This window comes from Homo sapiens, chromosome 4 (assembly GCF_000001405.40).
Source record: "Homo sapiens chromosome 4, GRCh38.p14 Primary Assembly".
Classification (NCBI taxonomy): Eukaryota; Metazoa; Chordata; class Mammalia; order Primates; family Hominidae; genus Homo; species Homo sapiens.
The window spans coordinates 127,758,532-127,777,209 of NC_000004.12; the positions used below are offsets into that span (position 1 = coordinate 127,758,532).

At 35.6% G+C, this 18,678-nt stretch overlaps 1 protein-coding gene and 1 long non-coding RNA gene across 4 annotated transcripts in view, besides 1 other annotated feature; one reads left to right on the forward strand and one right to left on the reverse strand.

The window, feature by feature from the left end:
• The window catches only part of SLC25A31 (solute carrier family 25 member 31), a 43,893-nt gene extending 28,132 nt beyond the window's left edge, over window positions 1-15,761 (forward strand). The window contains exons 3-7 of one of the 3 annotated variants that reach the window (NM_001318467.2): window positions 5,712-5,829; window positions 8,535-8,689; window positions 10,221-10,346; window positions 14,113-14,164; window positions 14,855-15,761. In NM_001318467.2, coding sequence (NP_001305396.1) covers window positions 5,712-5,829; window positions 8,535-8,689; window positions 10,221-10,346; window positions 14,113-14,164; window positions 14,855-14,862 — 459 coding nt within the window. In that variant the 3' untranslated portion in view covers window positions 14,863-15,761. The remainder of the gene's footprint in view (window positions 1-5,711; window positions 5,830-8,534; window positions 8,690-10,220; window positions 10,347-14,112; window positions 14,165-14,854) is intronic. The other 2 variants (NM_031291.4, XM_011532298.3) reach the window with 2 other exon arrangements.
• LOC105377414 (uncharacterized) lies at window positions 4,799-18,387 on the reverse strand. The gene is made up of 3 exons (XR_939188.3): window positions 17,991-18,387; window positions 17,136-17,302; window positions 4,799-5,007 (listed from the first exon to the last, which is right to left on the reverse strand). It is a non-coding gene; the product is annotated as an uncharacterized LOC105377414 (long non-coding RNA).
• Window positions 17,483-17,552: a silencer, noted in NCBI's record as "silent region_15671". NCBI's record gives its function as "represses an Ori minimal core promoter by ATAC-STARR-seq in GM12878 lymphoblastoid cells {active_cell/tissue: GM12878}" and the evidence as "EXISTENCE:reporter gene assay evidence [ECO:0000049][PMID:35858748]".
• Window positions 18,388-18,678: the final 291 nt, after the last annotated feature.

Here is an 18,678-nt window from a genome sequence, read left to right on the forward strand (position 1 = left end):
AATTCTTTGCCAAGGCCAATGTTTAGAATTTTTCCTAGGTTTTTGTCTAGGATTTTTTTAGTTTGAGGTCTTATATTTAATTTTAGTCTTTAATTCATCTGGAATTAATGTTTGTATATGGTGAAGGGTAGGGACCCAGTTTCATTCTTCTGCATATGGCTAGCCATTTTCCCCAGCACTATTTGTTGAATAGGGTGTCCTTTTCTTATTGTTTATTATTGTCAACTTTGTTAAAGATCAGTTGAGTGTAGGTGTGTGGCCTTGTTTCTGGGTTCTTTATTTGCTTCCATTGGTCTATGTGTCTGTTTTTGCACCAGCACCATGCTGTTTGGGGTATTATAGCCTTGTAGTATAGTTTGAAGTCAGGTAATGTGATGCCTATGGATTTGTTCTTTTTGCGTGGGATTCCTTTGGCAATTCAGTCTCTCTTTTTGGTTCCATATGAATTTTAGAATGCTTTTTTCTAATTCTTTGACAACTGATGTTGGTAATTTGATAGGAATTCTGTTGAATCTGTAATTGCTTTGGGCAGTATGGTCATTTTAATGATACTGATTCTTCCAGTACATGAGCATGGAATGTTTCTCCATTTGTTTGTGTCATGTATGATTTCTTCCATCAATGTTTTGTAGTTCTCCTTGTAGGGATCTTTCACCTTCTTGGTGAAATGTATTCCTATGGTTTTTTTTTTTTTTGTGGCTACTATAAATGGGATAGAGTCCTTGATTTGAGTCTCAACTTGAATGCTATTGGTGTGTAGAAATGCTACTGACTTTTGTACATTGATTTTGTATCCGGAAACTTTATTGAAGTCATTTATCAGGTCTAGAGGTATATTTAGGGTTTGGGAGGCATATCTTGGGTTTTCTAGGTTAAATTACTCATGTAATTTGACTTCCCCTTTTCCTATTTCGATGCCTTTTATTTCTTTCTCTTGCCTAATTGCTCTGGCTATGACTTTCACCACTATGTTGAATAGAAGTGGTGAGAGTGGACATTCTTGTCTAGGAACAAACTTTTGATAGGGCAAATATTGTATGATTCTACTTAAGTACTTAGTATAGACAAATTCATAGTGACAGAAGGGAGATTATAGATTAATAGGTGGTTAACCTCTGTTAAACTACTGAGAGGGGAGATGGGGAGTTAGTGTTTAATGAGTTACAGAGTTCTGTTTAGGATGATGAAAAAGTTCTGGAAATAGTGACAAAGTTTAAACAATGTTGCAAACATACTTAATGCCATTGAATTGTACACTTAAAATAGTTAAAATGGTAAATCTTGTGTATATTTTATCAGTATACAAAAAAGGAACAAACTTTTGATATGTGCACCAACTTTGGATTTTAAGGTAGAAAAAGCCAATCTCAAAGGTTATATGCTTTCTGATTGCTTTTATATAACGTTCTTGAGATGATGAAATTATAGTGATGGAAAAAAGAATACTGTTTGCCAGGAGGGAGAGAAGTGGCTGTGATTTTAAGAGTGGCATGAGGGATCCTTCTCATGGAACTGTTGACCAATTTGAACATGTGACAAAACTGCGTGTCACTGAATAAACACACAACTGAGTCATGTTAAACTGACAAAATCTGAATAGGGTAGGCCTTATCATGTCCATTTCTTGTACTACACATATGCTTAGTACACTGAGGATAATTCGTTGAAGGATTTATAGTCTCTCTGTATATTACTCCTTATAATAAATGTGAATCCAAAATTATCTCAAAATAAAAAGTTTTTTAAAAAATGGTAAGGGAAGCATGTGCCTACTATATATGTTGTTTCACTGAATCTTCACTTCACTCTTTGAGGTAATTATTTTTACCCAGAAGGTACAGATAAGGAGAGTGGGACTCAGAGCTTAAAGCTTTTGCTCCACTAGTTTGTTCCAATCTAACTCCCAAACTCACCTGAGGTGACTAGACTGGATGAGCCTCAGCTGGGCCTGGGCATAAACTGCTCCTCAGCCACCCCTTAGCAGCTTTCAGCACAGCCCTCAATGAGGAAGACTAGAGCTGCTCCCAGCTCTCTTCCTTGTCCAGACAAGTTGTTATAAACAACTTTGGTCTCAGGGCATTTGTTGTTTGATGCATCATTGAGTCTTTTCACACAGTATCTGTCAACAATTAAAAATAAATAGGATTATTTTTCCTCAGAACTCTCAGACTTTCATCTTCTCCCTTCCTGATTCTTCTCCGTGCCTCTTCTTTTAACAATATAGTAGGCCAGGCATGGTGGCTCACGCCTGTAATCCCAGCACTTTGGGAGGCCGAGGCGGGCAGATCACAAGGTCAGGAGATCAAGACCATCCTGGCTAACATGGTGAAACCCCGTCTCTACTAAAAATACAAAAAATTAGCCGAGTGTGGTGGCGGGCGCCTGTAGTCCCAGCACTCCAGCCTGGGCGGGGGGAAAACACCAATATAGTAATACTTTAAATTACTAACTTACAACAACCAAAACTCACTTATACTTATATACATACTACCTTTTCTGGGTCTGTTTTATTTTCAGTCTTACTTGTGGAGGGACAGGCTTTGTTACATAAATGCAGGATCGTCACTCAGCATGGGCAGATTCTTACTGCCTTTCTCCCTCTATTTCTGTCCTTCCTACCGTCACTACATAGATCGGCCATACCGTTTATATATGTTGTGCCTGCCCCTGTCGTTTTTTCATAGCTCCCACTTTCTGTATCAGAAGTGTCCTGGTTTGAATGATAAATTACATGATTATCCACGCCAAAAATCATTGATCTGCCTTCTTTCTCATCAAGAAAGAAAAAAAGATTAAGTAGAACTTAAGATCTACTTTATAAATCTTTATGCCACATATTTTGTTTGGTTGATGTGCTTGGTTTTCATAAGCAGAGATTAACTCAGATTACCTCAGGAAAAAGATGATTTATTGTAATGATACAGTGGCACTTGAATTTCAGCCACAGGCACCTCTACGGACCAAACTATACTCTCATCTTTCTCTCCCAAGTCACCTGTTCTTTCTCTCTAATTACCTGCTTTTAGTGTGTGTGTTTGCTCTGTTTTCTCATTATTGCCTACTTTTTTTACTTACTGATATTTTCTTATTCCTTTAAATTCAATATTTGTACCATAGTAATCCTTTTTGGCCTTTCTAAAGGTCAGAGGTTCTTAACCTGGGATCCGTGAATGCTTCCAGAATACCCCACACTCTAAAAATATATGTTCATACATGTGTAATTTTTCTTAGGAGAGGATCTATAGCTTTAAACAGTCTCCAAAAAGTCTAAGACATTAACTTTTCCTTTTCTGTCCTTATTGATAACTAGTATTGAATATTTAAAGTTCAGTTCCCAAGAAAGAGGCTCTGGCCCAGCTCATCTTTTTCTACCAGGTTACCAATCATCTACTACACTGTGGATTAACTACCCTTATGTCAGATGCAATCTCCTGATCTAATTATTTCTGTATGATGAGACATGCTGCTTATACAATAAAACTGATGAGTGTTACTTAAAAAGATCCATGGGAGTCTGGGAACAGTAAGTGGCATTACCAGTACACTTTATTAAACAAATACTTATTTAATACATATCTCTGGGCAAGACCTCCTGACTTGCTCTGTGAAATAAACAGAGGAATTAAGAATCTTGGCCTCAAACAAATGGAAACAACCCAAATGTTCATCAGCTGATGAGTAGATAATGTTCATAAAATAGAATATTATTTGGCAATAAAAAGGAATGAAGTATTAATATGTACTGCAACATGGATGAACCTTGAAAACATGCTAAATGAAGGAAACCAGTCAAAAAAGAGTGTGTCTTATGTGATTCCATTTATATGAAATGTCCAGGATAAGCAAATATATAGAGACAGAAAGTAGTTTAATGGTTGCCTAGGACTTAAGGAGGTAGGGAGGATGTGGAGTGACTTATAACAGGCCTGGGGTTTCTTTTTGGTGTGATGAAAATATTCTAAGCTGTGGTGATGGTTGCACAACTCTGTGAATATATTAACAATTGAATTGTACGCTTTACATAGGTGAATTTTATGATATGTGAATTATACTTAGTAAAGCTGTTAAGGAAAAATAATGCTGGCCTCAAGAAATTTATAGTCTGGGCCGGGCGCAGTGGCTCACACCTGTAATCCCAGCACTTTGGGAGGCCTAGGCAGGCGGATCACGAGGTCAGGAGATGGAAACCATCCTGGCTAACACAGTGAAACCCCATCTCTACTAAAAAAAAAATACAAGAAAATTATCTGGGCGTGGTGGCGGGCGCCTGTAGTCCCAGCTACTCAGGAGGCTGAGGCAGGAGAATGGCGTGAACCCAGGAGGCAGAGCTTGCAGTGAGCCAAGATCTCGCCACTGCACTCCAGCCTGGGCGACAGAGCGAGACTCTGTCTCAAAAAAAAAAAAAAGAAATTTATAGTCTGTAGGAGTATAAATGTACACAAATAATTATAAATTGAAAGTAGAAAATGGTTGTAAGTGATATTTAAAAAATAAGAGTCTGTGCAGTGAGTCGAGATCGCGCCACTGCACTCCAGCTTGGGTGACAGAGCTAGACTCCATCTCAGAAAAAAAAAGAGTCTATAACATGTTAATACATTTTATGTATTGGTCATGGGATTCAACTTTAATTCTCTGACAGAGATGAAGTATTTATGGGAAGAGGGTATGATCATATACAGTTTCAATAGATGGGTTGGAGATCAGATATTTCATGAAAGAAGTAGAACTTGAATTAGAGCATGAAGCAATAACTATTTTTTTGTTTAAAAAAGGAAGAGCATTCCAGGGCTAGAGAACATTGAGAATTGCAAAGCTGTCTGACACTTTATTGTTAGAAATAAAAACCAGAAAATAAAGCAAGAAATTGAGCTTGACTAGCATATTATTCACTTTAATGTATTAAGTGCTTGCAGTGGCCTCGTATCCTGGATTTTTCATAACAGCTCCAATTCAGATACTCCTTTCTTCTCGCATAAGCACTAGATGTTGAAAAGCATCTTGCTGAACCTGGGGAGGGCACATTTTAAATGTTGATCAAAAGTAATTATACTTCTTCAATAGCTCATGTGAACTAGTAGACCAGTGAGGCCTAACTTAAATGCCATACAACTACATTATGATTGATGTCTGCCAATCTCCATGTTGTCATTTGAACATAATTAAATACGTATTTTTGAGCTATTCAAATTTAATTCTATTTAAATTACAAAGTGAAGCTGGGGCATTGTGAAGTATTTTAGGTTGGTGCAAAAAGTAATTGCAGTTTTTTGCCATAATACTACTTACTTCACCCTTCACAGAAAAAGGGCACAACTAAAGCCTCCATATGTGCCTGACATTGTAATCATAGCAAGCACTATTATTAAGAATTATGTAGCTATTAAGGAAAAAAAAAAGTATACAGCGTAAAGAGATGATTATGCGACCTCTTTTGCTAATTTGGGCTGCTTTGCTGGAGAACATTAAAATATCCTGGAATTTCAGTATGTCAGCATCTAAACTGTGTCTTCCAGACTGCATGAAACAAAAGCTATATGGCTATAAAAATAAAATATTTTGGATAGCATGGTATGCATTATTATAGATGTTTACTTTATAAAAGTGGCTTATAAATCTGGTGTTTTAACATTTATAAAAATAAGAATTTACCAGGTATTTTAAACAGTTAGATTCTGTGGTTTAATAACCACTTTTAAATTAATATGTTTCAGTTCTGGAGGTGGTTTTTGGCAAACCTGGCTTCTGGTGGAGCTGCTGGGGCAACATCCTTATGTGTAGTATATCCTCTAGATTTTGCCCGAACCCGATTAGGTGTCGATATTGGAAAAGGTATGAGATTTTTAGAAATACTAACTTTTCCTTCTTTGCATTTTGAACCATCTGTTATTTATTGGCATTAATTGTGCTATAATAGTGTTACCAGATAAAGTCTACGAACTTTGTTCTCAACCAAATGGTGGAGTCATAGGGCCTAAAGTATATTACTTGCTTCTTTTCCCTTAAAAAAGGGAAGGAGGGAAAGCCTGTTGTAACAAAAAAAGTGAACATAAAAATTGCTTATAACTTAGTCCCATTTTTTTTTCCTAGAAAGCCCTTCCTAGATTTTTTTCCATGCACTTAGTCCTGTCTCAGCTGTGGCTCCCTTCTAGGTTAGATGCACAAATCTCATCCTAGGGAGTCCCTTTGCCTCTATCCTTACTTAAATATCACATCTTCCCTTTTTTGTTATTACACCCTTGTTTTTTGGTAGAGTATATTCTTTGGTAACTTTTTGAGAAAGAGTGAAAAAAAATAAATTGAGCTCTTACATATCTTAAAAAAAGTGTTTGTCTTACCCTCTCAAAAAGGGTAAGACATATATGAAAGTCTGAGTTTAAAATTATTTTCCTTCACAATTACGAAAATATTACCCTGACTTCTAGTTTCTAATGTTGCTCTTAAGATACCAATTTGCTTACTCCGGATCCTTTAGTATATGTTTTTTCTTTTTAGTTTCTTTCTATCCCTGATGATCTTATATTTCACAATAAAATATCTTTATGTGAGTCTTTTTTCAGTGTTTGAGTGATTGCAGCGGTCACACAACTGGCCCCGTTAAATCTGGAGCCTTGTGTTCAGTTCTGTGGGTGGCAGCACAGTAAGTCATTTGGCTGCTCAGGGTGAGGTTGTGGATATTGAGCATCTCCCTGCTCCTTTGCTTTCATCCTGGAAGTAGTAGTTAGTTCCTCTAATTTCTAAGTCTTTCTGAGGTTATTGTGATCAAATGGCTTGCTTCCCAGCAGTATCTTCCTCTGTAAGAAAATAGGTTCAGCTTTTTCTGCTCTATTTGGTGAATTACCACTCCTCCCTATTCTCTCCATCTGGCAAAATTTTGTAGATTTCATTCTGTCATGTTCTCTTATTGGCCTATCTGGCTTTAAACCTGTTTTATTTCATTATTATTAATGTAACAGAGTTTCTTTAGGGTACAGAGATTCATTCAACAAATATTGAGTGCCTTCTGGAATACAGGGTGCCTGCAGATACAGGGCGTGTGTGAGTGTGTATATGCGTATATATATGCACACATATTCACACCCCACCCCCCATGTAAGACATAGAGCTCATGCCTCATGTACCTAAGAGTCTAGTGGAGGACACAAGTAATAATAAATGAATAAATGACTAAAATATATTGTCACTTAATGATAAATGCTAGGGAAAAAAGTTAGAAGAGAGTGATAGCAGTTTTAAATAAGTGATCAGAAAATGTCTCAGAAGGGGTGGCAGTTTGAGCAAAAATAAAAATGTGAGTTTCATCTATTTAACTGGAAGTTGAAAGTTTATTTTTATTAATAAGAGGGTAAAAATAACTCAATATTATCTTGCTTTAAGTTCCATAGTTTTGTTTTCTCTTTCAAATCAGGAAGATTTAGTTTATTTTTGGAAGATTACATTGTACATATATAATAGTTTTAAAATATTGTCAAGGAATTCTTGGTCAAGGGAAAAGAAAAATAAAACCAGAAAATACTGGAAAAATATGACCCCTTCATATGAAATGTTAACTATCTTAAACTATCCTTACTAGTTTTTAGCTTTATCTTTTTGCTTTTCAACAGTCCTGGAGTTTTTTTATTTGTTTTTTTTTTTGTTTTTTGTTTTTGTTTTTGTTTTGAGACAGTCTTTCTCTGTCACCCAGGCTGGAGTACAGTGGCATGATCTCAGCTCACTGCAGCCTCCACCTCCCAGGTTCAAGCAGTTCTCCTGCCTCAGCCTCCTGGGTAGCTGGGATTACAGGCGACCACCACGACGCCTGGCTAATTTTTGTATTTTTAATCGAGACAGGGTTTCACTATCTTGCCCAGGCTGGTCTTGAACTCCTGACCTCGTGATCCACCCACCTCAGCCTCCCAAAGTGCTGGGATTACAGGCATGAGGCACTGTGCCCTGCCAATTTTTCCTTTCTAAGTGTTTCTTTGTTTTGTTTTGTTTTGTTTTAATAGAGACAGGGTCTTACTCTGTTGCCTAGGCTGGAGTACGGTGGCACAATCATAGCTCAGTGAAACCTCCAACTCCTAGTCTCAAGTGATCTACCTGCCTCAGCCTCCTGGCTAATTTTTTTTATTTTTTGTAGTGGCAGGGTCTCACTGTGTTGCCCAGGCTGGTCTCGAACTCCTGGCCTCAAGCAGTCCTTCTGCCTTGGCCTCGCAAAGCACTGGAATTACAGGCATGAACCATCTCACCTGGCCTGTTTCAAATTATTTTCTGAACCTCAATTAGTAACTTCTGGTAACTTTAATAAAATACTTTAAGGCAGGTTGTTTGAAGTAAATTGTTTTCATGAGAGATTAATATTTTCCATTTATTTCTTTTGAGATAGTACTTGAAATCTTGATTATCTGTAAAAGAATGGGAGGATTTTGATTTGTGCCTTCTTTGTTAGATTTGTAAGTGGGAATTTCAGATCATTTAGATCTGTAAAGGTTTATTTTGATTAAAGTGTTTATTGGATATATAATGTTGCTAATAGATTTTAAATGGCTTTATTTTAGGTCCTGAGGAGCGACAATTCAAGGGTTTAGGTGACTGTATTATGAAAATAGCAAAATCAGATGGAATTGCTGGTTTATACCAAGGGTTTGGTGTTTCAGTACAGGGCATCATTGTGTACCGAGCCTCTTATTTTGGAGCTTATGACACAGTTAAGGTAATCTGGGGGCTTTAACTTGGACATATTAAATATATGGTTTCCATTTATTTAATTAGTAATGTTTTCAGCAGATATGTTACTTTTAATTATAAAAATAAAAATCAGTGATGAAAAAAGAGAGACATGAAATTCTGCTTAATCATGATTTTGCCATAACCTAATTAAATTATAACTGCAGTATGGATCTGACTTTAGTTATAAAGCATGTATCTAAGTTTTTGAGGTGTTTTCACTGTACATCACATTGCAAATGAAAAACACGCTAATTAAGCTTACATCATAATCAAATCATTGGTATATGGAAAGGCATCTTCTAACAGTTTTTCTGATTTTATGTTAACCCTATTATCACTTTTTTATATTCAAATAATAAAATGTCATTTTGAGAAGGAGACAAAGCAAAATTAATTAAATAAATGCTACTGTAGCTTGGTTATCTACCGGATACTGTTAGATTCTGTGTTGTATTCTCCAGGTTGTTCTGCAATTTACCTTTTCATTTCAGATTTTAAGAACACTTCCATGTGGTAGGAAAAAGAAAAATTGTAACAATGGCTACCAATTTTTAGCTATTACCTAGTTCTAGGAAACTTTTTAAAGTACTTTACATCTTGAATCTCAGAAATCACTGGTAAAGAACTTACCCATGTAACCAAAACACTACCTGTTCCCCAAAAAACCTATTGAAATAAAAAGTAATAAGAAAATAAAGATAATTGTAGTTGTTTAAAATAAATAATAAAAAAATAAAATCCCCCCTTTGTTTAAAGATAAATAGCCTAGGAATTGTTAAGTAAATAGCCTAGGAATGGTTAAGTAATTTACTTGTTAAAGGCAAGCAAAAAAAAATCCATGTTCTTAATGACTACATTATAATGCTTCCAAAAGGAAGCAATGAAATTAATATCAGTATTATTTATTAGTATAATAAATAATTATACTATACTCCTTCATTAGTATAAATGTAGTTGCATGGCATTTTTATTGTTGTCTGGACAGATCAGTTTTTAGTGTATTTTTTAGACTGCTATGTTAATGAAAATTACAGGATCTTGTACATTTATTTAATCACAAAAAAAGTTATGTGTGTACTCTGTCTCTAGTTTGTTATCACCTGCAGTAGTTATGAAATTTAGGAACATTTCTCCACTAGTTTTAAAGCTGCCCATCAAATATGTGTTGATGATAAAAGCAAGCATTTGTTTCACTTTTTTTCAACCCCACAAGGAAGAGCCATGGAAGAACTTCTTTTTTGTCAATGTCTGCTATCTTCCCTAGTTTTATGTGCATTAATAACAAATTCTTATAATGGCAAATATGCTTTATATTTTTGAAATATACCTTTGAAATATAGTCATGTGTGGCATTCCACTTTTTATTGATCTGCTACTATTAAATCCAACATTTTTATTGCATTTTAAGTATAATTGGGCCCTCTTTCATATATTTATAAAAATTATCCTTTAACTTAAGAATTTAAGATATTTTAGAAATTTGGATAGTTACTTGGCACATTTTTCTTTTCTAGGGTTTATTACCAAAGCCAAAGAAAACTCCATTTCTTGTCTCCTTTTTCATTGCTCAAGTTGTGACTACATGCTCTGGAATACTTTCTTATCCCTTTGACACAGTTAGAAGACGTATGATGATGCAGGTATTTTATGTTATTGTTTCTAAGCTTAGTTGAGTTTTTAATATCTCTGATATTTAGGTATAATCAAATTTAAGAGAAATGTTGGCTGAAAGGCATAAGTCATTTGTTTTACTTAGCTAAAATAAATACATGATGTATTCTGTCTTATATTCTTTCCTATCCTAAAATAACCATCAGCCAGCAAAGCTGCTTCCTCACCTACCATCAAAACAGAAATGCCTACTATTCCTGTAGCATATATTGCTTGGAAGGTAGAGGGTTATGGCAGAAATTGGATGAATATGTCTATCTTAACTGAAATATTAGATTAAGTAGAATAAGCCCAGTCACAAGCCATTGAGATATTTCATTATTTATTGTAATATATTTTTAAGAAAGCAAATAATTTTGAACTCCAAGGACAAAAACTTGTTTGTCATGATGTTCTAAATATAAATCCCTAAACCAAATTTTTGATACATTTGATCTCTATTGTTATTACCAGTTGACCATCCCAAATCTGAAAATCCTAAATCCAGAACACCCCAAAATTCAAAATGTTTTGAGCACCAACGTGATGCTCAAGGGAAATGCCCATTGGAGCTTTTCAGATTTCAGGTGCTCAGCTGGTAAGTATACAAAGCAAATATTTCAAAATCTGAAAAAATTGAAAACACTTCTAATTCCAAGCATTTCAGATAAGGGATACCAACCTGTACTTATTACATTCATCCATTCAGCAAATATTTGCATGCTTCATCTATGCTAAGCTCTGGTGACAGAAAAAGACAAAATCTGCACCCAAATTCATAGTCTAATATTGAAGACAGCAGTTAATGGTTTAAATACAAATGTGTGTAGGTTCCAGGAATACATAGAGGAGGGTTGCCCAAATGCTTAAAATGATCAGACGTGGTCTCCTAGAGAGCTAAATCTCAGTGAGTAGGTTTACTTCAGTCAGTGAGAGAACATTCTAAGCATAGGGGGAAAATCGTACACAGAAATATGGCTTGAGAAGTAGTTCAGGATAGCCAGGTCATAAGTTTTATGAGGGCAAGTGAAAATAATGAGGTCAGAAAACTAGAATAGTAATATAGTGCTTATTATATGCTTTATACTGTCCTAAGAGTTCTGTACTTTTACTCATTAAATTCTCAAAACACTGAGGTGTAGTTCCTATCATTATCCTCATTTTTATTGACTACAAAATGGTCCTGGAAGGACCAGTAGGCAATCTGGCAGATTAAAACTAACCCGTTACTTCACTTAGGGATAATACTTAGAGTTATTCCATTTATGTCTGTGTTTCTTTTCTTTCTATAGCTAGCTCTAGTTTAGCACATTGAGAAACTTTTTAAAATGGAAAATTAATTTGCACGTAGACTATGGATTGGGTCAGTGGTATTATATTAAATTTCCTGAATTTGATAACTGTACTTTGGATATGTAAGAAAATATCCCAATATTTAGAAAATAAATATGCACTTGAGCCAGGCACTGTGGCTCACGCCTGTAATCCCAACACTTTGGGAGGCTGAGGCGGGTGGATCACGAAGTCAAGAGATCAAGACCATCCTGGCTAACACGGTGAAACTCCATCTCTACTAAAAATACAAAAAATTAGCCAGGCGTGGTGGCGGGCGCCTGTAGTCCCAGCTACTCGGGAGGCTGAGGCAGGAGAATGGCATGAACCACGAGGCAGAGCTTGCAGTGAACCAAGATGGCGCCACTGCACTCCAGGCTGGGCAACAGAGCAAGACTCTGTCTCAAAAAAAAAAAGAAAAAGAAAATATGCACTCGAGTGTTTAAGGATAAACGGCATGATGTCTGCAACCTAATCTCACAACAGTACAGAAAAAAAAATGGGAATATGAGTCTTATATGTGTGTGTGTATTAGTTTGCTAGGGCTGGTGTCACCCACAAAAGTGGTTTGCTTAAACAACAAATTTATTTTCTCACAGTTCTGAAGGCTACAAGTCTGAGATCAAGATGTCAGCAGACTTGGTTTCCTCTGAAGACCTCTCTCCTTGTCTTATAAATGGCTGTCTTCTTCCTGTGTTTTCACAGGGTTCCTCCTCTGTTCTTCTTCTTCTTTTTTTTTTTTTTTTTTTTTTTTGGAGATGGAGTCTCACTGTGTCGCCGAGGCTGGAGTGCAGTGGTGCAATCTCGGCTCACTGCAACCTCTGCCTCCCAGGTTCTAGCAATTCTCCTGCCTCAGCCTCCCGAGTAGCTGAGATTACAGGCACACGCTGCCACACCCAGCTAATTTTTTGTATTTTAGTAGAGACAGGGTTTCACCATTTTGCCCAGGCTGGTCTCGAACTCCTGAGCTCAGGCAATCCACCCACCACAGCCTCCCGAAGTGGTAGGATTACAGGCCTGAACCACCACGTCTGGCCTGTTCCCCTTTTTATAAGGACAGTCATATTGGCTTAGGGTTCACTCTTGTGATCTCATTTAATTCTAATTACCTTTAAAGACCCTATCTCCAAATACAGTCACATTCTGAGGTACTGGGAGTTATTAGGATTTCAATATATGATTTTAACAATTCAGCCCATAACAGTACTACTTAATTTTTGTGTATTTCATTTTACATCCCACAACTTTGTTAACCCTATTACAAACACGAATGTGTATGTACATACCTTCCAAATTTTTATTTACATGAACAGGCATATAATCTGCAACTAATATCAGTGTTTTCTTCCTTCCTTATCAATTCTTACACCTTTTATTTCTCTTTCTTGCCTTTCTGTACTCACTGAGACCCCGGATTCAGTGTTATATTTACAAAGTAGTAACTGGCAACCTTATCTTGTTCCTAATCATACAGAAAATGACGTCAGTGTTACATAATTTAATATTAACTGTGGGGGTTTTTTGTCATTATCATTTATCATGTAATGACAGTTCCTTTCTGTTCCTGGATTACAACAATTTTTAATTATGAATGGCAGTCATGTTCTTTCTGTATCTGCTGAGATGATTAAACCTTTTTTTCTTTTAATATGTTTACATATTGTGTTAAATTAATCTGTTTTCTAGAGCTAACTCTTGTATGCCTGGGATAAACCCAGTTTGCAAGTATTGTATTCTGTAGCACTTGCTAGATTTGATTGCTGGGTTTTGTTCAGGATTTTTGCATCCATGTTTAATGACACTGGCTTGTATTTTTCCTTCTTGTATTGCTCTAGTATGACTTCAGTAGCAAGTCTGTGCAAGCCTCATAAAATACGTTGAGGAGTCATCCCACTTTTTCTCTCCTCTAGAATAATTTCTGAAAGATTGGAATTAAACGTTCATTGAATGTTTAGCAGAACTCACATGTAAAGCCTTTTGGACATGTGGTTTTCTTTATGAGAAGATATTCAACAACTGATTGAATTTTTAACAACTATAGTATTATTCCAGTTCTTTTCTACTCTGTTGGTAAATTATACTTTTCTAGGAATTTATCCATTTCTTATGACTTAAAAATAATTGTCATGAAGTTTTTTATGACATCATCTTGCTCTTAAATTTCTGGATCATCTGCATTTTTGTTACCGTTGCCATTTCTGATAATCTTGGGGCCTTTTCTCTTTTTTCCTCAAACAATATTTCCAAACTCTGTCAGCAAAGTATTTCAAAGACCTAACTGGACTTTTTTTGTGCTGTTGTGTGTGTTTTCTATTTCCTTTATTTCTGCCAGTTATTTTCTTGTTTTTACTTTCTTTAGGTTTATACTTTGTCTAAAAATGTTTAGGTTGCTCATTAACTTTTAGCCTTTTCTAATATTTCAAGGTCATTAATTTCCTTATAAATTACAACTCGAAGCTGCATCTTAAAAATTTAGGTAAGAGGTTTTGTAATTATCATTTGGTTTTCAGTATTTTCTGAGAAGAAGTGTTCTTAACATCCCAACATATGATTTCTTTTTTTTTTTCTTTTTTTTTTTTTGAGACAGGGTCTTACCCTGTCACTTAGGCTAGAGTGCAATGGTGTGATCATGGCTCACTGCAACTTTGACCTCCCAGGCTCAGGTGATCCTCCCACTTCAGCCTCCCGGGTAGCTGGGACCACAGGCATGTGCCAGCACACCCAGCTAATTTTTTGTATTTTTTGTTGAGATGGCATTTTTCCATATTGCCCAGGGTGGTCTCAAACTCTTGGGCTCAAGCGATCTTCCTGTCTCGGCCTCCCAAAGTGCTGAGATTACAGGCATGAGCCACCATGCCTAGCCCATATGGTATTTTTCTATTTTGCTATTGATTTCTCAGTTAATTGCAGTGCTGTGAGAGGATAAATCATGGTCTATGTGATGACATCCTTTGACATTTGTTAACGCCTAATGTATGGTCAGTTTTCAAGTGTGCCTGAAAAGTATGAATGTTCTCTAACCACCAGGGACAGTAGCCATATATGCCTATTAACACAGTGCTACTCAACACAGTGTTTATCTTATCTATCCTTAGTGCTAATAGAAGACTGTCTTAAGATAAAAGATATTCAGATAATGGAAAACCCTTTGTTTTTCTTTGTATAGAGTGGTGAGGCTAAACGGCAATATAAAGGAACCTTAGACTGCTTTGTGAAGATATACCAACATGAAGGAATCAGTTCCTTTTTTCGTGGCGCCTTCTCCAATGTTCTTCGCGGTACAGGGGGTGCTTTGGTGTTGGTATTATATGATAAAATTAAAGAATTCTTTCATATTGATATTGGTGGTAGGTAATCGGGAGAGTAAATTAAGAAATACATGGATTTAACTTGTTAAACATACAAATTACATAGCTGCCATTTGCATACATTTTGATAGTGTTATTGTCTGTATTTTGTTAAAGTGCTAGTTCTGCAATAAAGCATACATTTTTTCAAGAATTTAAATACTAAAAATCAGATAAATGTGGATTTTCCTCCCACTTAGACTCAAACACATTTTAGTGTGATATTTCATTTATTATAGGTAGTATATTTTAATTTGTTAGTTTAAAATTCTTTTTATGATTAAAAATTAATCATATAATCCTAGATTAATGCTGAAATCTAGGAAATGAAAGTAGCGTCTTTTAAATTGCTATTCATTTAATATACCTGTTTTCCCATCTTTTGAAGTCATATGGTATGACATATTTCTTAAAAGCTTATCAATAGATGTCATCATATGTGTAGGCAGAAATAAGCTTTGTTCTATATCTCTTCTAAGACAGTTGTTATTACTGTGTATAATATTTACAGTATCAGCCTTTGATTATAGATGTGATCATTTAAAATTTGATAATGACTTTAGTGACATTATAAAACTGAAACTGGAAAATAAAATGGCTTATCTGCTGATGTTTATCTTTAAAATAAATAAAATCTTGCTAGTGTGAATATATCTTAGAACAAAAGGTATCCTCTTGAAAATTAGTTTGTATATTTTGTTGACAATAAAGGAAGCTTAACTGTTATAAAGGAGTCTTTTTTTCCCTGACTCTGACTTTATTAGTAAGCAGAGTATAGCAAAATTTTTGTCAGAACTGGCTTAACTAAAGAGAGAGGTATTTCTCAATGGACAGATATAAACAGCATTCCAAGGTTTTGTACGGGAGTTTGTCTTGTTTTTCAGAGCTGTTGTAGAATACAGTATATTTGAAATCCCCAAGTTTTTAACGTTCTAATGAGTAAAGGGATGTTAAGCTAGTGGGGATAAACTATAGACGGATTTTCTGAGGCTGTGAATGGGCAAAATGGGGTGGAGGAACTTCCTTATGCACAGGGACAAAGCGTATTTCAAGGACAATAATACAGACCATACTTTTAAATATATTGGTGTTATCCCTCAAGAGGAAAAAAAGTCAAACTCTAAACATCATTTCTTGCAGTGGTCAACATAATGGAGTTACAGGAACAAAATAGAAAATATTTTCCTTTCCTGCTGCACTATCAAATGGTTCAAAGAAAGATGGTTAAAATAACCAAATATGAGGAATAGTTTCCCATATAAAGAGTAAGATAATATAAAAGTTTTCAATTCGTACAGAGGCATGCATAGAGGAAAAAAGACTCTAAATTCTGAATGGCATGGATAGAGGGCAAACAGGAATTTAATCGCTAAATTGCTAGACAATTCTATTCTTTGAAGCCTAAAAGATGTATAGTTAGAACAAAAAGTAAAAATATTACTTAGTATCCTGGACAGAGCTAAAACTGTATAAACTACATTAAACTGTTATTAATGAGAGTTTATAGTGAGCAAAATCATAACGTGATTTTATAAGGAAATTATTTTTTAAAATCTTAACATTGGAAAATGAATAGTTAAAATATATTTAAAATATATACAATTTTTATCTTAAATGACTAGTGCTGCATCTTTTTTTTTCTGTAGAAGAGAGCTGGAGTACTGCATCTTTTACAGTGTCTTATTAGATAGGATTTTTAATTTCCTGCCCTAAAACTATCTCCCCAAATAATACCTAAAATTCCATTCTCAGAGCTTCATTCTCTTGATTCATTAAAATACACCCTGCATAAAACAAGATGACCTTTTAAGTTGGTAGTCATTTATACTTACTGAAACTACATTTATTTTGATGAATTTTACATTGTTTTCTCACAGCACGTTATGCTAGAGAAAGAGGAGGGGGGAATGAAAATGACAGACATTGTCTGGGTAGTAAGAGGCCAAAAGCCCCTAGAGAGATTTTTGCTATTTTATATTCCTACTCTAGATTGATGCTTTCTAGTAAAAATTAGAACTTTGGTACCCTCACATTAAATTTTCTGAAACAGTTCCTTTGTTCATATATAAACATTATGCTACACAAGTAAGAAATTGATACCTTCATTCCTCATTAGCTGATAGATCGAAATGTAGATTCAGAAGGGCTCATTTTCTTCCACCACTTCTTAAATGTTAGTATTCTCCAGGGGCCAGTCCTTTGCTCTTTTCTCACTTTATATATGGTAGATTGTGCTGACACAGATGCCCCTCCCCCACAAGTACATGCTGGATAAAATATATCCAAAAAGATTTGGTTTTGTTTTGTATTGTTTTAAATAGGGAAATAGCATATCAAGAGATGTCAGAAATAAGATGCTCAAGGCCAGGAGAGTAACTGGGAGCTAACATTGTAGCAGCCCACAGATTTCAGAAACAAAAAGACACTAAGGGTGATTTTGACACCCACATGTGTAGATAGGAGTTAAGGAATTGGGGCCCTGGTAGAGTAGGCGGTTGAAACTGAAACATACCATGCCTACCAACCACACAAACTGTCCAATGAAGCTACAAACTTGGGTCCAGGCACAGGATGCGAGGCATGCGGCTGGTTTGAGGCCAGGAATTCAAGACCAGCCTGGGCAACATACCGAGACCCCTGTCTCTTAAAAAAAAAAAAAAAAAAAAAAAATTAGCCAAGTGTGCTGGCACATGCCTGTAGTCCCAGCTACTCAGGAGACTGAGGTGGGAGGATCACTTGAGCCTAGGGGACGGATGCTTCAGTGAGCCAAGATCATGCCACTGACCTACAGCTTTGGCCACAGAGCAAGACCCTATTTCTGTTTAAAGAAAAAAAAGCTACAATCTTAAAAAAGAGTGTTTTATTTAAGAAGAGATGCTAGAAAAATAGGCAACAAATCATAGTGGAAAAGAATTGCCAACTACCCCAACAGTGAATAGGGAAAGAAAAACGCACCTGTGATGTATCTGGTTTGGGGGTTAACAATTTTAAAAATTAAAAAGCCACCTGTGAGAAATCAAAACCCCACAAGCTTGTGCCACAACAAAGTATAGAACACACATATATATATTTAAACTATCCGTATAATACAGGAACTCCAAGCCAAACCATTATAACTGTTATAGGACCAGTGAAGCCCTCAGGGCATTGGCAAAAACAAATACAAAACCTCTCTGAAACACTTCTACAACCTAGGCCACAAAAAATCCTACAGAAAAGGTAGCCTTCAATGAAGATGAACTGATGAGTCACCGAGAAAACAAAGCACTGTGTGGCAAAGGTGGTAGACATCACAAACAGAATTAGCACCCCAAGACTAAAAATGTGATGAAACACTAAAAGAAACTATAAAATTGGAATGTTTAAAATGATAGACTTTTTAAGTAATTAGATTTTTTATTTTTTAATAGTACAGTATGAAAGGACAGGCAAGTTTGAAAAAACATCTAGAAATAGTACAGTGTTTGAAATTAAAAACATGACAAAGGAGAGTCTAAAGGTCATAGTGGTTTGAATACATTTTACATATTCTAATAAGAGATCCAGAAGAAACTGAAAAAGGGTGTGAGAGACAACAAAAGAATAATGTTTGATACTTTTCCAGAATCTCAAGAATCCATTTGTCTTCAGGTTAACAAAAAAC